At 48.8% G+C, this 26,342-nt stretch overlaps 1 long non-coding RNA gene and 1 other non-coding gene across 2 annotated transcripts, besides 3 other annotated features; one reads left to right on the forward strand and one right to left on the reverse strand.

Annotated features, from left to right (window-relative positions):
* Positions 11,590 to 11,859: a silencer, noted in NCBI's record as "silent region_8283". NCBI's record gives its function as "represses an Ori minimal core promoter by ATAC-STARR-seq in GM12878 lymphoblastoid cells {active_cell/tissue: GM12878}" and the evidence as "EXISTENCE:reporter gene assay evidence [ECO:0000049][PMID:35858748]".
* Positions 12,690 to 12,879: an enhancer, noted in NCBI's record as "active region_11849". NCBI's record gives its function as "activates an Ori minimal core promoter by ATAC-STARR-seq in GM12878 lymphoblastoid cells {active_cell/tissue: GM12878}" and the evidence as "EXISTENCE:reporter gene assay evidence [ECO:0000049][PMID:35858748]".
* Positions 12,887 to 13,103, reverse strand: SNORD3D (small nucleolar RNA, C/D box 3D). The gene has a single exon (NR_006882.1). It is a non-coding gene; the product is annotated as a small nucleolar RNA, C/D box 3D (small nucleolar RNA).
* Positions 13,104 to 19,069: 5,966 nt separating this feature from the next.
* Positions 19,070 to 26,312, forward strand: LOC124903946 (uncharacterized). Its single transcript, XR_007065656.1, has 3 exons — positions 19,070 to 19,092; positions 23,634 to 23,756; positions 26,278 to 26,312. It is a non-coding gene; the product is annotated as an uncharacterized LOC124903946 (long non-coding RNA).
* Positions 23,303 to 23,802: an enhancer, noted in NCBI's record as "H3K4me1 hESC enhancer chr17:19026149-19026648 (GRCh37/hg19 assembly coordinates)". NCBI's record gives its function as "activates a minimal SCP1, AML or CMV promoter by ChIP-STARR-seq in primed H9 embryonic stem cells {active_cell/tissue: H9 hESC(primed)}" and the evidence as "EXISTENCE:reporter gene assay evidence [ECO:0000049][PMID:30033119]".
* Positions 26,313 to 26,342: the final 30 nt, after the last annotated feature.

Below are 26,342 nucleotides of genomic sequence, written 5' to 3' on the forward strand. Positions count from 1 at the left end.
TAATCCCAGCACTTTGGGAGACCGAGGTGGGTGGATCACCTGAGGTCAGAAGTTCGAGACCAGCCTGGCCAATGTGGCGAAACCCCATCTCTACTAAAAATACAAAAATCAGGGGCCGGGAGTGGTGGCTCATGCCTGTAATCCCAGCACTTTGGGAGGCCAAGGTGGGTGGATCACTTGAGGTCAGGAGTTTGAGACCAGCCTGGCCAACACGGTGAAACCCCATCTCCACTAAAAATACAAAAAAGTAGCTGGGCATGGCGGCACATGCCTGTAATCCCAGCTACTCGGGAGGCTGAGGCAGGAGAATCGCTGAACCTGGGAGGTAGAGGTTGCAGTGAGCCAAGATCACACCACTGCACTCCAGCCTAGGCAACAGAGTGAGACTCCGTCTGAGAAAAAAAAAAATTTGGGCCGGGTGCAGTGGGTCACCTGAGGTCAGGAGTTCAAGACCAGCCTGGTCAACATGGTGAAACCGCATCTCTCCTAAAAATACAAACGTTATCTGGGCATGGTGGTGCATGCCTGTAGTCCCAGCTACTCGGGAGGCTGAGGCAGGACAATCATTTGAACCTGGAACACCGAGGTTGCAGTGAGCTGAGATTGTGCCACTGCACTCCAGCCTGGGCAACAGAGCAAGACTCTGACTCAAAAAAAAAAAAAAAAAAAAGAGCCTGGGCGTGGTGGCTGACGCCTGTAATCCTAGCACTTTGGGAGGCCGAGGCGGGTGGATCACCTGAGGTCAAGAGTTCAAGACCAGCCTGGCCAATATGGTGAAACCCAGTCTCTACTAAAAATACAAAAGAATTAGCTGGGCATGGTGGTGCATGCCTGTAATGCCAGCTGCTCGGGAGCCTGAGGCAGGAGAATTGCTTGAACCTGGGAGGCGTAGGTTGCAGTGAGCCGAGATCGTGCCACTGCACTCCAGCCTGAGCGACAGAGACTCCGTCTCAAAACAAACAAACAAACAAACAGAATAAGGCAGTTCTCTTTTGGTGGGTGTGCAACAATCTCCAAGAGTTACACTGTTAATGATATAAGCATGAGGTAGTGTGTGGAGGGAGTTACTGTTTCCATGCGTGGGGGTGAAGGAAATACATACAATAAGATTATGTCAGAATCTCTGTTACACTGTAACAGTGATTGCCATTAGGGAGGGGACCTGCAGATCAGGAGAAACAGTAGGAGGGAGACTTGTTGCATATGTCCTTGTGCACTGATTGAACTTTTTTTCTGTGCATGTATTTTTTTTTTTTTTCTTTTTCTTCGAGATGGCGTATTGCTCTGTCACCCAGGCTGGAGTGCAGTGATGCGATGTCAGCTCACTGCAAACTCCGCCTCCTGGGTTCAAGCAATTCTCCTGCCTTAGCCTCCTGAGTAGCTGAGATTACAGGCATGTGCCACCACGTCTGGCTAATTTTTGTACTTTTTTTTTTTTTTTTGTAGAGATGGGGTTTCCCTATGTTGCCCAGGCTGGTCAAATGCTACTCTTTTGAGCAGACTTCTTTGTATTACAGTTTGGAGTGGTTATGTTTTAACTCTCAAGCCAAGCTGAAAGTTTTAAGTGTGTGAAACTTGTCTGTAAATTTTCTGAAGAAGCAAGCACCGTGCCCTTCTGAGGCAGGTGAGGAGCTACGGCTTTCTCAGAACACACTAAGAGTCTCTTGTAGAAAGGTGCTATGCACATTTCCAAAGAAGGGGCGCTCTGAGAGAGGACAGCAGAGAATAGTGGATAGATGTTGGTCCCTGGCTCTGACTGACATGTGAAAATCTCAGCCTATCAGCTGGGCCACCAGCTATTGCCCCTCTCTGCACCTCAGTTTACTTTGCTCATCTGTTAAACAGTGATAAGTGTGCCTGTCCTACCCTGTTGCAACGATCTGTCAAGAAAACAAGCCAAGACCGGGTGCCGTGGCTCATGCCTGTAATCTTAGCACTTTGGGAGGCTGAGTCAGGCAGATCACTTGAGGCCAGGAGTTCAAGACCAGCCTGGCCAACATGGTAAAACTGTGTCTCTACTAAAAATACAAAAGTTAGCCGGGCATGGTGGCCTGCACCTGTAATTCCAGCTACTCTGGAGGCTGAGGCAGGAGAATCACTTGAACCTGGGAGGTGGAGGTTGCAGTGAGCCGAGATCTCACCACTGCACTCCAGCCTGGGTGACAGAAAACAAAAAAGACCTGAAGCCAAGGTTGTGTCTGTTTACTAAAACAATGCACGTGAAATGTTTTGTCCAGGTAGTTACCATTTCTTTTTCTTTGGGTGGGAGGGGGGTGTTGTTTGCTTTTTGTGGTTGTGTTTTTGTGTTTTGTTTGTTTGATTTGTTTTTGAGACAAGGTCTCGCTACTGGACCCAAGCGATTCTCCCACCTCAGTCTCCCAAAGTGCTGGGATTACAGGTGTGAACCACCAGGCTCAGCTTATGATAACTGTTTCAAGTCAGAATTTGACAATCTGAAGAAAACTTTTTTTTTTTTTTTGAGACGGAGTCTTGCTCTGTTGTCCAGGCTGGAGTGCAGTGGCGTGATCTTGGCTTACTGCAACCTCTGCCTCCCGGGTTCATGGGATTCTCCTGCCTCAGCCTCCCGAGTAGCTGGGATTACAGGTGTGCACCACCACGCCTGGCTAATTTTTGTATTTTTAGTAGAGACGGGGTTTCCCCATGTTGGCCAGGCTGGTCTCAAACTCCTGACCTCAAGTGATCCACCCACCTCGGTCGGCCTCCCAAAGTGCTGGGATTGGGATTACAGGCATGAGCCACTGTGCCCAGCCAAAAACATTTTTTTTTTCTTTTGAGAAAGAGTCTCACCCTGTCACCCAGGCTAGAGTGCAATGGTGTGATCTCAGCTCACTGCAACTTCTGCCTCCCAGGTTCAAGTGATTCTCTTGCTTCAGCCTCCCGAGTAGCTGGGATTACAGGCATGCACCACCACGCCCAGGTAATTTTTTGCGTCTTTAGTAGAGACAGGTTTTCATAATGTTGGCCAGGCTGGTCTCGAACTCCTGACCTTGTGATCCAGCCACCTCGGCCTCCCAAAGTGCTGGGATTATAGGCGTAAGCCACGGTGACCAGCCTGAAAACGTTTTCTAAATGGCCCATTTTGTTTGGAATCTTCACCACTTTGGGAAAAAGCCTAAAGATTAATGGAACAGAAATGTGCCATAAGATCAGAGACTAGATATTGAGTGGATGCTATCTTTTTTTTTTTTTTTTTTTTTTTTTTTTTGAGACGGAGTCTTGCTCTGTTGCCCAGGCTGGAGTGCAGTGGCACGATCTCAGCTCACTGCAACCTCTGCCTCCCAGGTTCAAGCAATTCTCTGCCTCAGCCTCCTGAGTAGCTGGGATTACAGGTGCCCGCCACCACGCCCGGCTAATTTTTTGGTATTTTTAGTAGAGACGGGGTTTCACCATCTTGGCCAGGATGGTCTCAAACTCCTGACCTTGTGATCCACCCTCCTCGGCCTCCCAAAGTGCTGGGATTATAGGCGTGAGCCACCGCGCCCAGCCACGGATGCTATTTTTATAGTTACACATTATGCTCTAGGGAGGAAAAATGATGAAGGTCATTGAAATTTGCTTATGAAATATAATTAAAGCTCTGGAAGAAAGATATTATGTAAATCCCAAGCAGAATGATCAGTTTATTAATTGATTTAATGAAGACTGAAAGTATGAAAGTTTGGAACTATCAAAAAAGCTAAATGGAAACCATTTCAAAATGGGGTTACTTAATCCCAGCACTCTGGGAGGCCGAGGCAGGAGAATAACCTGAGGTCAGGAGTTTGAGACCAGCCTGACCAACATGGTGAAACCCCGTCTCTACTAAAAATACAAAATTAGCCGGGGGCGGTAACGCGTGCCCGTAATCCCAGCCACTTAGGAGGCTGAAGCAGGAGAATCGCTTGAACTCCGGAGGCCGAGGTTGCAGTGAGCCAAGATCGAGCCACTGCATTCCAGCCTGGGCAACAAGAGCGAAACTCGGTCTCAAAAAACAAAACAAAACAAACAAAAAAACCCACAAAAAACAGAAAATGGGGTTACTATCAGGAATCTGGATACTGACTAATGAAAATGCAAGTGGGCTGGGCGCGGTGGCTCACGCCTGTAATCCCAGCACTTTGGGAAGCCGAGCCGGGCGGATCACGAGGTCAGGAGATCGAGACCATCCTGGCTAACACGGTGAAACCCCGTCTCTACTAAAAATATAAAAAATGAGCCGGGTGTGGTGGCGGGCACCTGTAGTCCCAGCTACTCGGGAGGCTAAGGCAGGAGTATGGCGTGAACCCGGGAGACGGAGCTTGCAGTGAGCTGAGATCACGCCACTGCACTTCAGCCTGGTCTACAGAGCAAGACTCCGTCTCAAAAAAAAAAAAAAAAAAAAAGAAAGAAAATGCTAGTGGTCTGGCTGAAGAAGGAGAAGAGGGAATTCATTAGTGTGGTGGGCACTCCTGGTCAGCATTTGTTCTTGTCGCAACTCCGGGAATGAGCCCTGATTTGACTACGCCAATTATCATAATTCCCCATTTCACCCTCCCATGATCCAAGTTCTTCCATTCAGAGCAAGCCTAGGATTTTAGTTTGCTGAATTGAGAGAAAGAGATGCTCTCTCTTCCTTCCTTCCTTCCTCCTTTCCTGTCTTCCTTTCTCTCTTTCTCTCTCTTTCTCTCTTTCTTTTTCTCTCTTTCTCTTTCTCTCTCTCTCTCTTTCTTTCTCTCTCTTTCTCTTTTCTTTCTGTCTCGCTCTGTCATCCAGGCTGGAGTGCAGTGGCATGATCTCGGCTCACTGCAACCTTCGCCTCCCGGGTTCAAGCGATTCTTCTGCCTCAGTCTGCCAAGTAGTTGAGACTACAGGCGCGCATCACTATGCCCAGCTAATTTTTGTATTTTTAGTAGAGATGGGGTTTCACCATATTGGCCAGGCTGGTCTCGAACTCCTGACCTTGTGATCTGCCCATCTCGGCTTCCCAAAGTGCTGGGATTACAGGTGTGAACCACTGCACCCAGACTGCTCTCTGTTTTCCATGGCATGGCCAGAGATCTGAGGCATGGATGTGCCACAGCCAATCTGCAGCTAGTCAAGACACCAGCCAAGGAAAATGGCCACATGTCCAAGAGGCATATGCTAAAGAATGGAGCCAGAGCCTTGATCGCACTGCACTTGAACCCTAGCTCTGGAAATTTTGGTTAAATGAGCCAATTGATTCCAATTATCATTTAAGCCAGTTTCAGTGGGGTTTTTCTCTTCCTTTCTTTCTTTCTTTCTTTCTTTTTTTTTTTTTTTTTTGGGTAGGGTCTTGCTCTGTTGTCCAGGCTGGAATACAGTGGCACAATCATGGCTCATTGCAACCTCAACCTGCTAGGCTTAAGGGATCCTCCCGCCTCAGCCTCCCAAGTAGCTGGGACTACAGGTGAGCACCACCACGTCCAACTAAGTAAAAAAAAAATTTTTTTTTTAAGAGACAACGTCCCACTATGTTGCCCAGGCTGGCCTCCTACTCCTAAACTCAAGTGATCCTCCCGTGTGGAGCACCAAAACTGCTAGGATTATAGGTGTGAGCCACCTCAGCTGGCCTGGGTTGGGTTTTCTTTTTCTGTTTTTTTTTTTTTTTTTTTTTTGAGAAGGAGTCTCACTCTGTTGCCAGGCTGGAGTGCAGTGGTGCAATCTGGGCTCACTACAACCTCTGACTCCCTGGTTCAAGCAATTCTCCTGCCTCAGCATCCTGAGTAGCTGGGATTATAGGCACGTACCAACATGCCCAATTAATTTTTCATATTTTTAGTAGAGACAGGGTTTCACCATTTTGGTCAGGATGGTCTTGATCTCCTGACCTCCTGATTCACCCGCCTTGGTCTCTCAAAGTGCTGGGATTACAGGCGTGAGCCACTGTGCCTGGCCTGAGTTGGGTTTTCTATCACAATAGTTCCAAAAAATGTATTGGCTTGTGTGCTGAAAAGTCTATGCTTAAAGCTTCAGGCATGGCTGGCTGGCTGGTTCAAGGTGCTTAATATCAGCAGGACTCTATCTTTTCTCTCATCTCTGTTCCCATCTGTGTTGGCTTCATTCTTAGGCTGGTTCTCCATTATGGAGCTACTCCAGGCTTATATCCCACTAGCTCAGTAACCTGATAGGAAGAGAAGCTTCTTTTTTTCTTTTTTTTGAGACGGAGTTTCACTCTTGTTGCCCAGGCTGGAGTGCAATGGCACAATCTTGGCTCACTGCAACCTCTGCCTCCTGGGTTTGAGCGATTCTCCTGCTTCAGCCTCCCAACCAAGTAGCTGGGATTACATGTACCACCACGCCTGGCTAACTTTTTTTTTTTGAGATGAAGTTTTGCTCCTGTTCCTCAGGCTGGAGTGCAGTGGCATGATCTCGGCTCACTGCAGCCTCCGCCTCCCAGGTTCAAGCGATTCTCCTGTCTAAGCCTCCTGAATAGCTGGGATTACAGGTGCACGCCACCACACCCAGCTAATTTTGTATTTTTAGTAAAGACGGGGTTTCACCATATTGGCCAGGCTGGTCTCAAACTCCTAACCTCAGGTGATCTGCCCGCCTCAGCCTCCCAAAGTGCTGGGATTACAGGCATGAACCACTGCACCCCGGCCCCTAGAAGCTTCTTTTTTCAATGATTTCTGTAGAAGTCCCAGGCTTGGCTTGAGAGTCATTGCTCTGCTATGAGTCAGGTGCCCATTCCTGAACTAATCACTGACCAGGGAGGGAAAGCTCTGATTGACTCAGGCTCAGAGCTGGAAGGGAGAAGGAGTCGCTCCCTTCAGCCTATTCAGATTCTTCCCAAGAGTTTAGTTTTAGGCATGGTGGCTCATCCCTGTAATCTCAGCACTTTGAGTGGGTGGCTGAGGCAGGGGGATCAACTCCAGGAGTTTGAGACCAGCCTGGGCAACATTATATGATCCTGTCTCTACAAAAAAATTGGAAAAAATAGCCAGGTGTGGTGTAGTCCCAGCTACTTGGGAGGCTGAGGTAGGAGGATTGTTTGAGCCTAGGAGATTGAGGATGCAGTGAACCATGATTGTGCCACTGCACTCTAGCCTGGGTGACAGAACAAGACCCGGTCTCTCTCTCACACACATACACACACACACACACACACAAAAGGCTGGGCATGGTGGCTCACTCCTGTAATCCCAGCACTTTGGGAGGCCAAGGTGGACAGATCACCTGAGTTCAGGTGTTCAGGACCAGCCTGGCCAACATGGTGAAACCCCGTCTCTAAAAAAATAGAAGGGCCGGGTGCAGTGGCTCATGCCTGTAATCCCATCACTTTGGGAGGCCAAGGCAGGCGGATCATCTGAGGTCAGGAGTTGGAGACCAGGCTGACCAACATGGTGAAACCACGTGTCTACTAAAAAAATACCAAAATTAGCTGGGCATGGTGGCACATGCCTGTAATCCCATCACTTTGGGAGGCCAAGGCAGGCGGATCATTTGAGGTCAGGAGTTCGAGACCAGGCTGACCAACATGGTGAAACGGCGTGTCTACTAAAAAAATACCAAAATTAGCTGGGCATGGTGGCACATGCCTGTAATCCCAGCTACTCAGGAGAATCGCTTGAACCAGGGAGGCGGAGGGTGCAATGAGCCGAGATTGCGCCACTGGACTCTAGCCTGGGCAACAGAGTGAGACTCCATCTTAAATAAATAAATAAATAAATAAATTTAGAAATACAAAAATTAGCCAGGTGTGGTGGCACATGTCTGTAATTCCAGCTACTTGGGAGGCTAAGGTAGGAAAATTGCTTGAACCTGGGAGGCGGAGGTTGCGGTGAACTCCGCGCCACTGCACTCCAGCCTGGGCAACAAGAACGAAACTTCGTCTCAAAAAACAAAGAAAAAAAGTTTAGCTTTGGAGTTTAGGCTTGGGTTTTCCAGGGTTACCACTTTTTAGCTGTGTTATCTTGGGCAAATAATGGAAGCTTTCTGAACCTCAGCTGTAAAATAAGGATAACGGTAGTCTCTACCTCTTAGGGTTTTTTATGAGGAGGAAATGAGGTACTGCATGCAAAACATTTGCACAATGCTCACTACTTTGTTGTCATTGTTACTAGTTCCTTTCTCCAGCACCTGCACTTCCAGGATGTTGGCACAGGTCCTTCCTTCCCCATGGGCTAGAAGGAAACTTCCTCCTGTGAGAGCTGTCATAGCTCTTTCTCTTGATTGTCTATGTGGCATTTGGTTTCTGCTCATGTTCATGCTGCCCAAACTCAAAACTTCTCTGTCCTAGACTTTCAACCCCTAGAAGGGAAAGGATGGCTCCATTCTTTTCAATGTCCTTAATAAGAGAACTGCCATCAACACCCATCCAGTGCATTTACAGTTTCCAAAGCATTTCCTCCTCTGCCTTTTCACCTGAGCCAGAATGCAATCCTAGGGAGTGGGAGGGGTTATTATTCCCACTTCACAGATGGGGAAACTGAGGTCCAGGGAGGGGCAGTGACGTCATGGTCAAGCAGCAAGTCGGTGGACAAGAAATTAGGTGTTTCTGGATTGCCAACACAAGTTTCTTTTTGTGGGACAAATAGTTTTGAATATAGAGTTCAAGCCTTTGGTGAAGATCCCGGGGAGCCTGTTCTGCACCTGTGCTAAGTGATTCTTTTCATTCAGCATGCAGTCTGTCCCTGTCTGCTGCCTGCCAGTCTTTCCCCCAAAGTCCCTTCCTGCTTGAAACCCTCCTTCCCTAACCCCAGAGACACCCCTGGCCTGCACTGCCAGCTCTTTCTTCTGAAATACACCTCTCCAACCGGCCCCCATCAGTCTGCTCCATTATCCACCTGGAACCAACCTCCAAACCTCTGCAAGGGCAGATGAGAGTGTCTCCTCCAGCCCTGTTTTCCATGGACTGCTTTGGGCACGGATGAAATTGTTCAGCTTATCCTGCAAGTTCCTCTGCAAGACTGCTTATGTGCTCTAGACTCATAGAACCTGGAATTGAATCCTAGCCCTGCCACATGCTGCCTCAGTTTCCGCATCTAAAATAGGAATAGGGCTGCTGACGTCAAGGGATCATCATGAGGATGAATTGAGAGAGGAATGCCAGGGGGCTGATACGCTTCAAGGAGGGGGTCCAGGAAAGAGAAATGACTTTGAGGAATGCAAGAATGTCCCCTCTGACCTTGCACGTGGCGGTCTTCCGGCCTCAGGACACCCTCCCCCACTTCTCAAGCCTGGGCTAATCTGGTGTTCTCCAACTCACTTCCTGTCCTGTAGGTTAGCTCATCATCTCATTATCTGTATCCAGTTCTCTTTCCAGGCTTGCATATTATCTGTGCGGCTACACACACTTGCTAGGTGGGTAGTGAAGGGAGTATTAGGCTCTGCATATGGAAAAGTGGGCCTGGGTGGCCAAGCCCCAGCATATCTCCAAACCTCAATTTCTTGTCTGTAAAATGTGAACAGCAAGAATGTGCACCTTGCTGGGCACGGTGGCTCACACCTGTAATCCCAACACTTTGGGAGGCTGAGGCGGGAGGATCACGAGGTCAGGAGTTCGAGACCAGCCTGGCCAACATGGTGAAACCCTGTCTCTACTAAAAATACAAAAATTAGCCAGGTGTGGGGGTGCGGGCCTGTAATCCCAGCCACGTGGGAGGCTGAGGCAGGAGAATCACTTGAACCTGGGAGATGGAGGTTGCAGTGAGCTGAGATTGTGCCATTGCATTTCAGCCTGGGCAATAGAGTGAGACTCCGTCTCAAAGCAAATAAATAAAAAAAGAATGTGCACTTGTGGAATTGTGGTAAGGTTTTAGACCAGCACTGGTCAGCATGGTAGCATCTAGCCACATATGGCTATTTACATTTAAATTAATAAAAGTTTAATGAAGTTTAAAAAATTCAGCCCCTCAGTCTCACTAGCCACATTTCAAGTGCTCGCTGGCCTCCTGTGACTCGTAGCTATCCTACGGACAGCACGCAGAAAGAACATTTCCATCGTGGAGGGAAATTCTGCTGAACAGTGCTGATTTAGAAGCATCACGCCCGTGCTGTGCATCAGCTCTGTGTTATAACTCATCTGACATTGTAAACTCAGGGCAGAAGCATGATTGCAGTGTAAAGTTCTGCTTTCCTTGGAGATGGGGTAAAGAGGTGAGGCTCACAAGGAATGTTGGACTGGTTGAGGGCATTCTCTGGGATGAGGGTGGACCAAGTTCAAAACGGGGAGCTCCGGCTTCTGCTGCAAGGCAGGCACATAGGGCATAATTCCCTCTGCTGGTGGAGAAGGGGCACCAAGCAGTGGGAAGGGTGGTTAACTGGAGAGTGTTTCTAGCATCTAGAGCTACCAGTGTTTGACTTTTCAAAGGAAAAGTGGCTATGTGGTTTTGCAAACGTGTTACAAGCTCTCTCCATTTTTATCGTATTTATTGTATCACTAGCTAGACTAATAAAGAAAAAAGAGAAGATACAAGTAAACATAATCAGAAAGGGCAAAGAGGACATTACCACCGACCCCATACAAACACAAAAAAGCCCTCAAAAACTATTATGAACACGTCTATGCACACACACTAAAAAACTTACAATAAATAGATGAATTCCTGGAAAGATACAACCTTTTTTTTTTTGCCAGAGAATGGAATTCCAGATCCTGGGTTGTTAGAACCTTAAGGGATACTTTCATCCCCTGGTTCCTGTACAGGGAGGAGGAATCTGAGGCTCAGAGAAGTACAGTGACTTGTTTAAGGTCCCTCAGTGAGTTAGGGCAGAGGAAGACTTCTGGCCACAGCTTCCCTGAAGCCAAGGCTAGGCAGAGTGTTGATGTCACCCAGGCAACAGGGATGGTGCCCTCTGCCCACCTAGCAAGCCCTGACTCATGCTCCGCGCCCCTGCTGTGAGAAGTCTCTGCTGACTCCCACCCTGATTGGAGCAGGTTAGTCAGCTTTGAGGTGCAGCCTCCAGTTCTGGCCCCTCCAGTTCCGGGACTCTCATTCGAGGCATTTGGGGCTGTCTCATTTCTGTGCCCAGCACAGGGCTTGGCACAGAGGAGGTGCTTTGTGGGTGCCCGCCAGTCAAGGGTTTCCGTTTTCGTGCCATGTAGGTAACCCCTTGCCATTCGTGCCCTTAGGTAACCCCTTGAGCAGCCTAAAGAAGCCTAGAGACTTCTCCGTTTTTGAGTATATTTTATTGACGTGAAATACACGCACGGAAAAGCGCACAAATCCAAAGTGTACTTCCGCGCATCTTCATAAAGTGAACACACTTGTAGCCTAAGAACCCAACCCTACCAGCGCCCGGCAGGCCCTGGCCCCCTTCCAGTCTCTCCTACTGAACAAGGTTTTTGAGTGAAACCGGCAGGCCGGAGCGTGAGTTTCTGCTTGACGGGGCGGGGTCTGCGCGTGCTGCCCGGCCGTGAGTGTGGGGGGGCCGTGAGTGTGTACGGGGTGGAGTGGCCTGAAGGGGATTAGAGTGCGCGCGTTCGGGTATTAATTTGCCAGGGTTTGTGTGGCGCTCGGGATTGGGGGTTTTTTGGGGGCTCGGGCGTCGACTGTGGGGCGCTGCGGAAGGGTGGGTCGTCCGCGTGGGGTCCTGGAGCGCAGGAGGCGGAGGGGAAGCCGCGCAGGGGCCACTAGGGAGGGGCTCTGGCGGGGTCGCAGGGGCGCGGTCTGCGGGCGTGGGGGCGGGACCTCGGGGGCGGGGCCTGAGGGCGCGCGCACGCCTCCGGCGCGCCCCCTCCCGGCCGCCATGTTGGCTGGTGTGTGGGTGTCAAACTGAGCCAGACGCGGCGGTGGCGGCGGCTCCGCGGGCTACGGTCGCTCCCGCCTCTCGAGCGCTGCCGGTGGCCGCAGCGGCGCACCCGCACCCGGCCCTAAAAGTACTTTTTATAGAGATGGGGTCTCACTCTGTTGCCCAGACTGGTCTCAAACTGCTTATCTCAAGTGACTGACTGTCTGCCTCAGCTGCCCAAGTAGCAGGGATTACAGACACAAGCCACAGCCGCTGGCTCTATTCAGGAACATCTTAGTTCCAAGTTTTGGGAATTATGGATAAAGCTGCTATATAAACAGGTGTGCAGGTTTTTGTGTGGACATTTTCAACTCATTTGGGTAGACACCAAGAGGCACGAGTTCTGATCATACCGAAAGTGTTTAGTTTCAGAAGAAGCTGCTTTTCTTGGGCTCCATAACAAAATACACAGACTTTGTGGCTTAAATAACACAAATTTATTTCTTACAGTTCTCAGTCGGGCGCGGTGGCTCACTCCTGTAATCCCAGAACTTCGGGAGGCCGAGGCGGGCGGATCACCTGAACTCAGGTGTTCAGGAGCAGCCTGGCCAACATGGTGAAACCCCGTCGCTATTTAAAAAAATAGAAGGGCCGGGTGCAGTGGCTCACGCCTGTAATCCCAGAACTTCGGGAGGCCGAGGCGGGCGGATCACCTGAGATCACGCGTTGGAGACCAGCCTGGCTAACATGCTGACACCCCGTTTCTGCCAAAAAAAAAAAGCCTGGAGTGGCGTGTGCGCCTTTAAGCCCCGGCTACTCGGGAGGGCTTAGGCGGGAGACTCGCTTGAGCCCGGGAGGCAGTTGTTGCTAGGAGCCGAGATCGCGCCACTGCACTCCAGCCGGGGCCGGCAGACAGAACAAGAGACCCGGAGACCCCGTCTGGGGGTGGGAGTGGCGGGCGGGAAACGGCGACAAAAGAGGGAGCGAGAATGGGAGAAAACGCAAAAAGAGACAATAGGAGGTGCCACACAGCATCCCCCGCCTCGCGCCAAGACTAAAATTAAAAAGCCACCCCGAGAAAACCCAAGAGCCGTCACCGCTGAAACAGGAGGCGAAAACCTTTCTCGCGACATTGCCAAGCAGGAGCGAACAGCCCGGAAACGGCCCGGAGTTTACGAGCTAGTCTCTGTCATTGAGCCATCAAGAAGGAAAAACCACTCAGACCGCGTTCTCTCCCTCTCACTCCCCAATACGGAGAGAAGAACGATCATCAATGGCTGACGGCAGTTGCAGCCAAGCAACGCCAGAAAGCCGGCTTCACGCTCAGGAGAAAACGCTACCTCTCTTCCTCGGGGTTTTCGGTGCTCTACACGTTCAAAGAAACTTCTCTAGTAACACACTATAGAAATGATCCCTGAAAGTATAGCCTTAACGGCCTCCTCGCACACCTCTGCTAGGTCTACATCTGCCGCAAACTTTTAACTGATGGCGAGAAACTTTCGCTAGTTCCGATGCCATTAGGAAACAAATAGGAAAATAGTTTGGCAATAACAGCTTGTCGAATATTATCACTTGACAAATTTTAACGTTTTAGGTGGAAAGGTAATTTTAAAAGTTGTTTTAAGAGGTTTAAAACCGGGCATGCTTAATTAGCATAATACTGAATGACAGCCAATCACAAACTGAATTTTTAAAACCGGAAGTGTTTGCTCCTGGTGTGGTGCGCCCGCCTGTAATCCGGGAATCCCAGCGTTTTGCGAGCCCACGCCCAGGCCCAGGAGGGAGGATCCTTTGTTCTATGAGTTCGACACCAGCCCAGGCAATATAGCGGAATCCCGTCTCTACCAAGGGGGCGGGAATCAACAATGAGCTGGGCGTGATGGCACCGTCTGTAGTCCCAGCTACTCGGGAGGCTGAAGCGGGATGATCGTTTGAGTCAGGGAAGCTGGCTGAGTTCAAAGCTGCAGTGAGCTCTGATCAGTTACCCCACTGCACCCCAGCCTGGGAGACAGAGTGAGATCTTGACTCTTAAAAACAATTTTTTTTTTAGGGGGGATGGTATTAAATAGATACAAAATTTACCATTTTAACCATTTTTCACATATACAATTCAGTGGCATTAAGTACATTCGTGTAGCCATTGGCATGTAACCATCACCATTATTTATCTCCAGAACTTTTTCGACATCCCAAACTGAAACTCTACCCGTAAAACAAACTTCCCTTTCCTCCCTCCGCCCAGACCCCTTTAACCACTATTCTACTTTCCGTCTCTATGAATTTGATTCTTGTAGGTATCTCTATAAGTGGAAACATGCAATATTGTCCTTTTGTATCTGGCTTATTTCACTTAGAATGACGTTTTCAAGGTTCATTCACGTTGTAACATGTTGCAGAATTTCACTCCTTTTTCAGGCTGGAGTGCAATGATGCATGATGTGACAGCTCACTGCAGCCTTGACCCCCAGGGCTCGGGTGATCCTCCCACGTCAGCCTCCTGAGTAGCTGGGATCGTAGGCACATGCCATCACGCTCCGCTAATTTTTTGTATTTTTTGTAGGGAGGGGGTTTCACCACATTGCCCAGGATGGTCTTGAACTCCTGGGATCAAGGGATCCACCCGCCTCGGCCGCTCAAAGTGCTGGGACTACAGGCGTGAGCCACCACGCCCAGCGGTTTTCTTAATTACATTTTTGAATTGTTCCTTGCCAGTGCATAAAAACACAACTGGACCGGGCACGGTGGCTCACGCCTGTCATCCTAGCACTTTGGGAGGCCGAGGCGGGTGGATCACCAGGTCAGGAGATCAAGACCATCCTGGCCAACGTGGTGAAACCTCGTCTCTACTAAAAATACAAAAACTGGCCGGGCGTGGTGGCCTGCGCCTGTAATCCCAGCTACTGGGGAGGCTGAGGCAGGAGAATTGCTTGAACCCGGGAGGCAGAGGCTGCAGTGAGCCAAGATCACGCCATTGCACTCCGGCCTGGGCGATAAGAGCATAACTCCTCAAAAAAACAAACAGGAAACCACACAACTGGTTTTTGTGAGTTGATCTTGTGTCCTGAAACTTTGCTGCATTTGCTTATTAGCTCTAGTAATTATTGTGCGTGTATTCTTTGGGATTTTCCCTATTTAAAGCGATGGTTTTATTTCTTATTTCTCAATTTGGTGCCTTTTCTTACCTAAAGGCTCTGGCTACAACTTCTAGCAAAATGTTGACTAGGCCAGGCGCGGTGGCTCACATCTGTAATTCCAGCATTTTGGGAGGCCGAGGCAGGCAGATAACAAGGTCAGGAGCTCAAGAGCATCCTGGCCAACATGGTGAAACCCTGTCTCTACTAAGAATACAAAAATTAGCCAGGCGTGGCAGTGCGCACCTGTAGTCCCAGCTACTGGGGAGGCTGAGGCAGGAGAATTGCTTGAACCCCGGGGGCAGAGGCTGCAGTGAGCCGAGATCACGCCACTGCATTCCAGCCTGGGCGACAGAGCAAGACTCCTTCTCGAAAACACAACAAAACCAACAAAACAAAAAAAAAAACATTGAGTAGCAGTGGTAAAGGTGAACCTCTGTGTCTTGTTCCTGAACTTAGGGGGAAAGCTTTTAGTCTTTCACCACTAAGTATGATGGTAACTGTGGTTTTTTCACAAATACCTTTTATAATGTTGAGGCAGATCCCCTCGTTTCATAGTTTTCTCTATGTTTTAATGATGAAATGTTAGAATTTCTTAGATGCTTTTTCTGTGTCAGCTGGAATGACTGTTTTTTTCCCTTTGTTCTACTAATGCGGTACATTACGTTAACGGATTTTCTTATGTTGAACCACCCCCTGCATTCCTGGGATGAAGCCCTCCCATCCCCTCAGCTGCAGCACCTGATTAAAGCCTTCTTCCTTGGCAAGAATCGTTGTCTCACTGATTGGCTTTCTGTGAGGTGAGTGGCAGGCCCTAGATGGAACCCCTGGTGTTTGAGTAACACCAGGATGGCCAGTAGCCTCCAGACGCCGGAGGAGTCAAGGAAGGATCCCCCTTCGAGGCTTCAACAGTTTGATTCCTGACTTTGAGCCTCCAGAACTGCGAGAGAATAATTTCTGTTTTGACAGAGTTTCACTTCATCACCCAGGCTGGAGTGCAGTGGCACGATCTGGGCTCACTGCAACCTCTGCCTCCTGGGTTCAAGTCATTCTCATGCCTCAGCCTCCTGAGTAGCTGGGATTACAGGCATGCGCCACCGCGCCTGGCTAATTTTTGTATTTTTAGTAGAGACAGGGTTTCACCATGTTGGCCAGACTGGTCTTGAACTCCTGAGCTCAAGTGATCTGCCTGCCTTGGCCTCCCAAAGTTCTGGGATTATAGGTGCAAGCCACCATGCCCGGCCTACATTTCTGTGTTTTTTTTTTTTTTTGAGACGGAATTTCACTCTTGTTGCCCAGGCTGGAATGCAGCTCTTGGTGTCTACCCAAATGAGTTGAAAATGTATGTCCGCACAAGCCTGGAAACATATGTTTATAGCGGCTTTATCCATAATTGCCAAAACTTGGAACTAAGATGTTCCTAAATAGAGCCGGGGGCGGTGGCTTGTGTCTGTAATCCCTGCTACCTGGGCAGCTGAGGCAGGCAGTAACTTGAGATCAGGGGTTTGAGACCAGTTTGGGCAACAGAGGGAGACCCCATCTCTATAAAAAAAATACTTTTAGGGTCGGGCGTGGTGGCTCATGCGTGTAATCTAACCTCTTTGGAAGGCTGAGGCGGGTGGATCACCTGAGGTCAGGAGTTCGTCACCAGCCTGGCCAACATGGTGAAACCCCATCTCTACTAAAAATACAAAAAATTATCTGGGCGTGGTGTCGGGCTCCCGTAATTCCAGCGATTCGGAAGGCTGAGGCAGGAGAATCACTTGAACCCAGGAGGCGGAGGTTGCAGCGAGCAGAGATCTTGCCATTGCACTCCAGCCTGGGCAACAAGAGCGAGATACCATCTCAAAAAAAAACACAAAAACCAAAAAACTTAAAAAAAAATAGACTGGGTGTGGTGACTCATGCCTGTAATCCCAGCACTTTGGGAGGCTGAGACAGGTGGATCACGAGGTCAGAAGATCAAGACCATCCTGGCCAACATGGTGAAACCCCATTTCTAATAAAAATACAAAAATTAGCCGGGCGTGGCAGTGCGTGTCTGTAGTCCCAGCTACTTGGGAGGCTAAAACAGGAGAATTGCTTGAACCGGGGAGGCAGAGAGTACAGTGAGTTGAGATCGCGTCACTGCACTCCAGCCTGGGAGACTCTGTCTCAAAAAAAAAAAAAGAAAGTAAAAGAAAATAAAAAAAAGAAAAACCCCAAAGGCAAAACACTACAAGAGGCAGAAAAAGAGTGGAAGACAAAAATAGAAACAAAGGCAACAAATAGAAAACAGTAAAAACAAAAAAAGGCAGCTATTAATCCAATTATATCAACATCCCTTTGCATATCAGTGGTCCAGATGAACCAATTAAAAGACAGAGATTGTCAGAGTGAGCAAAAAACAAGACGTAACTATATGTTGCTTACAAGAACTACACTTTAAAGACTTATGTATTAAAAGCGAATGGATAAAGAAAGATCTATGCCAACACTGATCAAAAGAAAGCAGGAGTCTCTATATTAATTTCAGACAGTACAGACTTCAGAGCAAGGAGAGTCATCAGGAATAGGCCAGGCACAGTGGCTCACACCTGTAATCCCAGCACTTTGGGAGGCCAAGGCGGGCAGATCGCCTGAGGCCAGGAGTTCGAGACCAGCCTGGCCAACACGATGAAACCCTGTCTTTACTAAAAATGCAGAAATTAGCAGGGCGTGGTGGTAATCCCAGCCTGTAATCCCAGCTACTCTGCAGGCTGAGGCACGGGAATCGCTTGAGCGTGGGAGGCAGAGGTTGCATTGAGCCGAGATCCCTGCACTCCAGCCTGGTTCGCAGAGACCTTGTCTGAAAAACAAAAAGAAAAGAAAAGAGAGTCATCCGGGATAAGGACAGGGCATTACATAATGATTAAGGAGTCAATGCTCAAAGAAGACATAACAGTCCTTAACATGTATGATCCTAACAAGAGAACATCAAAATATGTGAGGGAAAAAGCGACAGCACCGCAAGGAGAAACTATTATAGTTGGCGACTTCAATGTCCCTCTATCAGAAACGGACAGATCCAGCAGGCAGAAAATCCGTAACTCAGTAACACCCTCTATAACTGGATATAATGGAAACCTATGGACTATTTCATACAATGACAGCAGAAAAAAAAGAAAAGAAAAACGCTTTGGTTTTTCCCGTATCTTAGGCTGGAGAGCAGTGGCACGATCACAGCTCACTGCAGCCTTGAACTCCTGGGCTCAGGAGATCCTCCCGCCTCAGCATCCTGTCTAGTTGGGACTACAGGTGTGCACTAACACACGTGGCCAATTTTCTTTCTTTCTTTCTTTCTTTCTTTCTTTTTTTTTTTTTTGTGACGGAGTCTTGCTCTGTCGCCCAGGCTGGAGTACAATGGCACAATCTCGGCTCACTGCAAGCTCCGAGAATGGAGAATGGTTCACGCCATTCTCCTGCCTCAGCCTCCTGAGTAGCTGGGACTGCAGGCACCCACCACCATGCCCAGCTAATTTTTTGTATTTTTAGTAGAGATGGGGTTTCACCGCGTTAGCCAGGATGGTCTTGATCTCCTGACCTCATGATCCGCCCACCTCGACCTCCCAAAGTGCTGGGATTACAGGCGTGAGCCACCGCGCCCGGCCCTTCTTTCTTTCTTTTTAAATTTTTTTCATCATGCAGCTCAAAATGTCATAATTTTTAAAAATTTACTTTTCTGTAGAGATGGGATCTTGCTATGTTGCCCAGGCTAGTCTTGAACTCCTGGCCTCAAGCAATCCTCCTACCTCGGCCTCCCAAAGTTCTAGGATTACAGGTGTAAGCCTGAGTCACCATGCCTAACCACAAATATATATTTTTATTTTTTGAGACGGAGTTTCACTCTTCTTGCTCAGGCTGGAGTGTAATGGCATGATCTCAGCTCACCGCAACCTCCACCTCCCGGGTTCAAGCAATTCTCCTGCCTCAGCCTCCCGAGTAGCTGGGATTACAGGCATGTGCCACCATGCCTGGCTAATTTTGTATTTTTAGTAGAGATGGGGTTTCTCCATGTTGGTGAGGCTGGTCTCCAACTCCCGACCTCAGGTGATCCGCCCGCCTTGGCCTCCCAAAGTGCTGGGATTACAGGCGTGAGCCACCAAGCCTGGCCCAAATAAAATGTGGTGTTTTGTTTGTTTTTTTAGATGGAGTCTTGCTACGTAGCCCAGGCTGGAGTGCAGTGGCACGATCTCGGTTCACTGCAACCTCCGCCTCCTGGGTTCAAGCGATTCTCCTGCCTCAGCCTCCCAAGTAGCTGGGACCACAGGTGCGTGCCAACATGCCCGGCTAACTTTTTGTATTTTTAGTAGAGACGGGGTTTTACCATGTTAGCCAGGATAGTCTCGATCTCCTGACCTCGTGATCTGCCCACCTTGGCCTCCCAAAGTGCGGGGATTACAGGCGTGAGCCACCATGCCCAGCCTATAGATACTTTAAAAAAACATTTTATTTGTCACGGGTGCCGGGTGAGCGACCACGCCCGGCAATGATGAGTTTTATCTGGGCTGTTATACATCTGAGAAACGTCCAGGGGATGGCGCCCAAGAGGCATTTGGAGCTCAGAGAAGAGGTCAAAGGTGGACTTGGTGGGGTTAGGGAGGCTCTTGGGGCTGTGGGAGTGGTTCCTGAACTGTGATCCGCACTGTCCCCCAACTTACATACCCAGAACAGCCAGGCTTGGGTAATAGTGGGATCTCTCACCCTCAAAGGGCCAAACTGGGTAGAACTCAGGGCTTCCTTTTTTTTTTTTTTTTTGAGATGGAGTCTTGCTCTGTCGCCCAGGCTGGAGTGCAGTGGCACAGTCTCGGCTCACCGCAACCTCCGCCTCCCGGGTTCAAGTGAGTCTCCCGCCTCAGCCTCCCAAGTAGCTGAGATTACAGGTTCATGCCACCATGCCTGGCTAATTTTTTGTATTTTTTTTTAGTAGAAATGGGATTTCATCATGTTAGCCAGGCTGGTCTCAAACTCCTGACCTCAGGTGATCCTCCTGCCTCGGCCTCCCAAAGTGCTGGGATTACAGGCGTGAGCCACCACGCCCAGCCAGGGCTTCCTTTTTAGGATCCAAAGTTAGGGAGAAGCTGAGGCCACCCTGGCTGGTCTCTTAGCCCTGGAAGGATCTGACTGACCGTGATTAATGAGTCTTTTCACTCTAGCGGCACCAAGATATTCCAGGTCCCAGCTTGGTAGTGCCGGGAGCCAGCAATGAGTCCGCTCCAATGGAGCTCAGGCACCAGCAAGGACAGGGGGGCAGACAGGGGCAGGGGTCATCAAGACAGCAGGCATGGCTTAATAGCCATCCTAGGGATGTGAAGGGTGTGTCATTGTGGGTTCGACTTGCATTTCCCTAATGACAAATGAGGTTGAGCATCTTTCAGGAGCTGTGAGCCATTTGTATACCTTATTTGAGGAAAAGTCTTTTAGGATCCTTTGCCCATTTTTAAATTGTGTTTTAAATTGTTGTTTGTGTTCTAGTATTGAATTCTATGAGTTCTTGTGTATTCTGGATATGAAACTTTCACCAGATTTGTTATTTACAAATATTTTCTTCCATTCTGTAGGTTATCTTTTCACTTTCTTGAAAGTGTCCTTTGATGAGCAAAAGTTTTAATTTTGATAAAATACAATTTATCATTTCATTGCTTGTATTTTGAGTATCATATCAAAGGTTCCATTGACAAATACAAGGCATGAAAACGTACCCCTGCGTTTTTTATTTTTATTTAATTATTGTTATTTGTTTGTTGGTTGTTTCTGGTTTTTATTCTTTGAGACAAGGTCTTGCTCTGTGGCCCAGCCTGGAGTGTAGTGATGCGATCTCTGCTCACTGCAGACTTGACTTCTTGGGCTCCAGTGATTCTCCTGCCTGGGCTTTCCAAAGTGCTGGGATTACAGGCGCGAGCCGCCACACTCAGCCATTTTTTTTTTTCTTTATCAAGATTTTTTTGGCCGTTGTAGATCATTTGCAATTCCATATGAATTTCAAAATTAGCTGGTGAATCCCTTTAATGAATGTTTTATTTCAGTTACTATACTTTTCTTTTCTTTCTTTTCTTTTTTTTTATTTTTTTGAGACAGAGTTTCACTCTTGTCGCCCAGGCTGGAGTGCAGTGGCGTGATCTTGGCTCACTGTAACCTCTGCCTCCCGGGTTCAAGCGATTCTCCTGCCTCAGCCTCCCGAGTAGCTGGGATTACAGGTGCCCGCCACCATGCCTGGCTAATTTTGTATTTTTAGTAGAGATGGGGTTTCACCATCTCTGGCCTCCAAAAGTGCTGGGATTACAGGGGTGAGCCACTGCACCCGGCTATTTTAGTTACTATACTTTTCAACTTCATAATTTCCATTTGTTTTTTTTTTTTATAATTTCGATTTTTTTTTTTTTTAATTCGGAGTCTTGCCCTGTCGCCCAGGTTGGAGTGCAATGGTGCAATCTCAGCTCACCGCAACCTCTACCTCCCAGGTTCAAGGGATTCTCCTGTCTCAGCCTCCCGAGTAGCTGGGATTATAGGTATGCACCACCATACCCAGTTAATTTTTTTTTTTTTTAATCTTTAGTAGAGACAGGGTTTCACCATGTTGGCCAGGCTGGTCTCAAACTCCTGACCTCGTGATCCACCCGCCTCGGCCTCCCAAAGTGCTGGGATTACAGGCGTGAACCACCGTGCCTGGCAATTTCTATCTTTTTATCGGTATTCTCTATTTGATGAAACGCCATCATCATACATTCCTTTATTTATTTAGTCACAGTTTCCTTTGGTTTTATGAACGTGTGTATAATGGCTACTTTAAAGTCTTTTTCTGATAAATCAACATGTGCCCTCTCACAGGCAGTTTCCTTTGCCTGCATTTCCCCCTATCTATGGGTCATGCTTTCCTGTTTATTAAATTTTTTGCAGGCTTCATATTTTTTTTTTTTTTTTTGGAAACAGGACATTTAAATAATACATTGTAGCAATTCTGGGTATGAGTCTCCCCTGACCTGGGCTTGTTATTATTTTCTTGTTTATTTGTTTAGTGACTGGCTGGATTGTTTTAGTGAAGTCTATTTCTTCCGTACGATGTTCAGCTTCTATGGTCGTTCTCAGGGGGCCCAGCTTTGAGTATGCCTGCAGTTACTCTGGGATGACAGTGGTTTTGGAAGGCTCTCTTCCTCTTTCCCTGACCATATCCAGCTGTTAAGCTATGCAAATTTTCTTTTCTTTTTTCTTTCTTTCTTTCTTCTCTTTTTTTTTTTTTTTTTGAGATGGAGTCTCGCTCTGTCGCCCAGGCTGGAGTGCAGTGGCACAATCTCGGCTCACTGCAACCTCCGCCTCCCGGGTTCAAGCAATCCTCTGACTCAGCCTCCCAAGTAGTTGGGATTACAGGCACCTGCCACCACGCCCGGCTAATTATTGTATTTTTTGTTTTTTAGTAGAGACGGGGTTTGACCGTCTTGGCCAGGCTGGTCTTGAACTCCTGACCTAGTGATCCACCCACCTCAGCCTCCCAAAGTGTTGGGATTTTAGGCATGAGCCACTGCACCCAGCCCTTCTTTTTCTAATCCTTGCTTGGTTGAAATAAGCTCTGCAAGTTGCCAATGGATTGCTTTATAATTTCCTATAATGCCCTGCACTACACACTGATCCTATCAAGTTTGGCTCCTTGGAAGAAATAGTGTGTGAGGTCAATGTCTGCTATTTGTTCTGACCTCAGGAGGGCTCCCTCTACTGGTGCTATTCCCTGTTCTCTCCTGTAAACGAGCAGCCTAGAGTTCAGCTTGTGTCTTGAATCTTCTCCTAATTATCTCTCACCATAATCTCTACTATTCTCAAAAGCACCTTTTGGGCCGGGTGCGGTGGCTCACGCCTGTAATCCCAGCACTTTGGGAGGCTGAGGTGGGCGGATCACCTGAGGTCGGGAGTTCGAGACCAGCCTGGTCAACATGGTGCAAACCCCGTCTCTACTTAAAAAAAAAAAATTAGCTGGGTGTGGTGGTAGGCACCTGTAATCCCAGCTACTCGGGAGGCCGAGGCAGGAGAATCGCTTGAACCCAGGAGGCGGAGGTTGCAGTGAGCGGAGATCGCATCACTGCACTCTCAAACAAACCTAACCAAAATCAAAACAAAAGCAACTTTTGCCTTGAATTCCTTCGTTCTCTGTAGCAAATGAGGTCAGTTGCTTTGGGAAGAGATTAGGAAGTCTCTTTTTTATGGCCTGTTTCTTCATTAGACAAAAATCTCTCTGAGCCAGGGCCCTGGAGCTGGGGGTGGAGACTTTGGAAAGCTTCTCTCTGAGTGACACCCTGCGCTAGGGGCTGAGGACTTGGTGGGAGTGGGGACAATGGCCGAGGTCCTCAAAGTTTGCCTCTCCTGTTGTCGAGCTACTTCCACATGAGCCAGGGCCGGAGTGATCAGGACCCCAGCACTCGCAGCACACTGCACCCAAGGCAGAGCCTCTGTTCCTTGAGTGGGGCTGGGTGCAAGAAGGGGGCCCCCAACTCTTGGCTACACTCATCCAGGACTTAGTCTCAGCAACAGGTGGCTGGGGGTAGAATAGGAAATGGATGTCCTGTTCTTCGTGGGAGGCAAGCCCTCCCACTGGGAGCTGGGGGCAGAGGGAGCCCTGTTTCCCTGGTCTGGAGGCAGCAGGGGACCCCATGTTCTTGGCTGCAGCTGTCCAGAGTGGAGTCTCAGCCTCACTGAGCTGAGAGGAAGGGCAAGAGGGGCCATGATCTCAGTGCAAACACCATGGCCTCACCTTTTTAAACCAAATATTCATAGATGTTCATGAATCCATGTTTCTTCATTTGCATTTTCTTTTTTTTTTTCCAGACAAAGTCTCGCTCTGTCCTCAGAGGCAGGAGTACAATGGTGTGATCATAGCTCACTATCACCTTGAAATCCAGGACCGAAACGATCCTCCCACCTCAGCCTCCTGAGTAGCTGGGATTACAGGTGAGAGCCACCATGCCTGGCCTATTTTTGTTGTTGTTTATTTTTGTAGAGATGGGTTCTCACTATGTTGTCCAGGCTGGTCTTGAACTCCTGGGTTCAAGCATTCCTCCTGCTCCAGCTTCCCAAAGTGCTGGGATTACAGGTGTGAGCCACCATGCCTGGCCTGTTTCTTCATTTTCTTTTCTTTCTTTCTTTCTTTTTTTTTTTTTTTTTCTGAGACAGAGTCTCCCTCTGTCACCCAGGCTGGAGTGCAGTGGCACGATCTCTGCTCACTGCAATCTCCACCTCCCAGGTTCAAGTGATTCTATTTCCAAGTAGCTGGGACTACAGGCGTGCGCCACCATGCCTGGCCAATTTTTGTATTTCAAGTAGACACAGGGAGGTGGAGGTTGCAGTGAGCTGAGATCATGCCACTGCACTCTAGTTCAGGCAACAAAAGCAAAACTCTGTCTCAAAAAAATTTTTTTTCAGGGAGTTCTCTCAGGTGTTTCAGCCAATCTCTGATGATAAAAAGTTCCCCAATCAGCCTGTTTGGAGTGTTCCAGGGTCCAGTAGTCTAGCCCAGTCTACTAATTACAGAACTCAAACTGCATTGAAATTGCAGTTTCCATCCAATCTCACGACCCTTAACATAATCGCACCGGCAAAGTCCCTCTTGTCATATAAGGGAACGTTCCAAGTTCTTGAGATCAGGACCTGGATGTCTTCGGGGCTGTTACTCAGCTGATCACAGGGGGTTAGGGTTTCAGCACTGAGACAGTGGCTGGGTCTGCCCTGGCCTGGTGTGGCCTGTGGCCAGTGATGAGTTTTCCTCCTGTGAGCAGCTTTTGAGGGACCTCCATAAACCAAAACCAAAATCCTAAGCCCCTTAACCATCCAAATGGACTCCTTCTCTCGGCAAGGGCATTCCAAAGTTAACCTGAAAATGAGTTCAGGATATGATGGGAAGGGGGAGCTGGACATGCCTTGTTATAACCTCCTCGCTTTTGGAATTACTGTTAGAACGGACTCTTTCAGTCTGATAAGAAACATTTACACTATATTCTCTCTGAAGCCAGCTACCTGGAGGCTTCATCTGCATAATAAAACCTTGGTTTCCAAAACTCCTTATTTTGTTGTTTTTTTGTTTTTTTTTTTTTTTTGAGATAGGGTTTCTCTTTTGTTGCCCAGGCTGGAGTATAATGGGGTGATCTCGGCTCACTGCAACCTCCGCCTCCTGGGTTCAAGCAATTCTCCTGCCTCAGCTTCCCAAGTAGCTGGGATTACAGGCGTGCGCCACCACTCCCGGCTAATTTTGTATATACATTTTTTGAGATGGAGTTTCACTCTTGTCGCCCAGGCTGGAGTGCAGTGGCATGATCTTGGCTCACTGCAACTTCCGTCTCCTGGGTTCAAGTGATTCTCCTGCCTCAGCCTCCCAAGTAGCTGGGATTATAGGCACTCGCCACCACGCCTAGCTAATTTTTTATTTTTAGTAGAGACGGGGTTTCACTATGTTGGCCAGGCTGGTCTCAAACTCCTAACCTCAGGTGATCCACCTGCCTCGGCCTCCCAAAGTGCTGGGATTGCAGATGTGAGCCACCGTGCCCAGCCTAATTTTGTATTTTTGGTAGAGACAGGGTTTCACCATGTTGGTCAGGCTGGTCTCGAACTCCTGGCCTCAAGTGATCTGCCTGCCTTGACCTCCCAAAGTGCTGGGATTACAGGCATGAGCCACCGCGCCTGGCCCAAGCCTCCAGTTTCCGATGGCCCCTCGTTCCAGGCCCCAGCGTCTGCCTCATTTGGGGTGCTGCATTCTTCAAGGGTCCTCTCAGTCAAGTCCCATTTGTGGGGTCCTCTCTGGTCTCCCGGAATCAGGGCAGATTTACCCTCCAACAAAGCTTTGCTGCTTACCTCACTGCACTCCTTGAGCTCACTGTACAGTAGGCAGCCCAGGCTCCCAGCTCTGGCCCGAGCCACCTTGGGCAGGAATCCTTCGGGTTGAGGCCATGCGGCGAAGGAGTTGTAGGCATGGTTTGGCCCTCAGGCCTGCCTGGGTTTGAACCCCAGCCCTGCCACCTACCAACTATTGGTCACTTACCTCTTTGTAAAGGACTTGGCAGAGAATAAATACTTCTAAAACACATAAAAATAAACCCGGCATCTGTCCCACCGCCCCAGGGGACACCCATTCAGCTTCATAAGGGGAAGTCCTCCTCCCCTCATATGGCTAGAAGCACCTCAGAACTGAGGCGGGGGCCGATCCCAACCCCTCCATTGCATCATTCTGAGGCTTTGAAACCTCAACTGCAACAGAGCCGGAAAGAGGGGCCTTATAACATCCTGTCACCCTTGGGGTCGGGGGCAGCCAGAAGGCAGGGGTCTTTGAGTAGAGGGCAGCGTGGAGAAGCCCTGGAATGGAGCTGGGTGAGGCCAGGGCCAGCTCCATCCTGCCTGGTTGGCTCAGGGACTCCAGAGTGGGCGGCGGGCAGCTGTCATCTTCTCTTCTTCCCTCTCAACTATTTTTTTTTTTTTTTTTGAGATGGAGTCTTGATGTGTCACCCAGGCTAGAGTGCAATGGTGCGATCTCGGCTCACTGCAACTTCC

Source organism: Homo sapiens, chromosome 17, assembly GCF_000001405.40.
Source record: "Homo sapiens chromosome 17, GRCh38.p14 Primary Assembly".
NCBI lineage: Eukaryota > Metazoa > Chordata > Mammalia > Primates > Hominidae > Homo > Homo sapiens.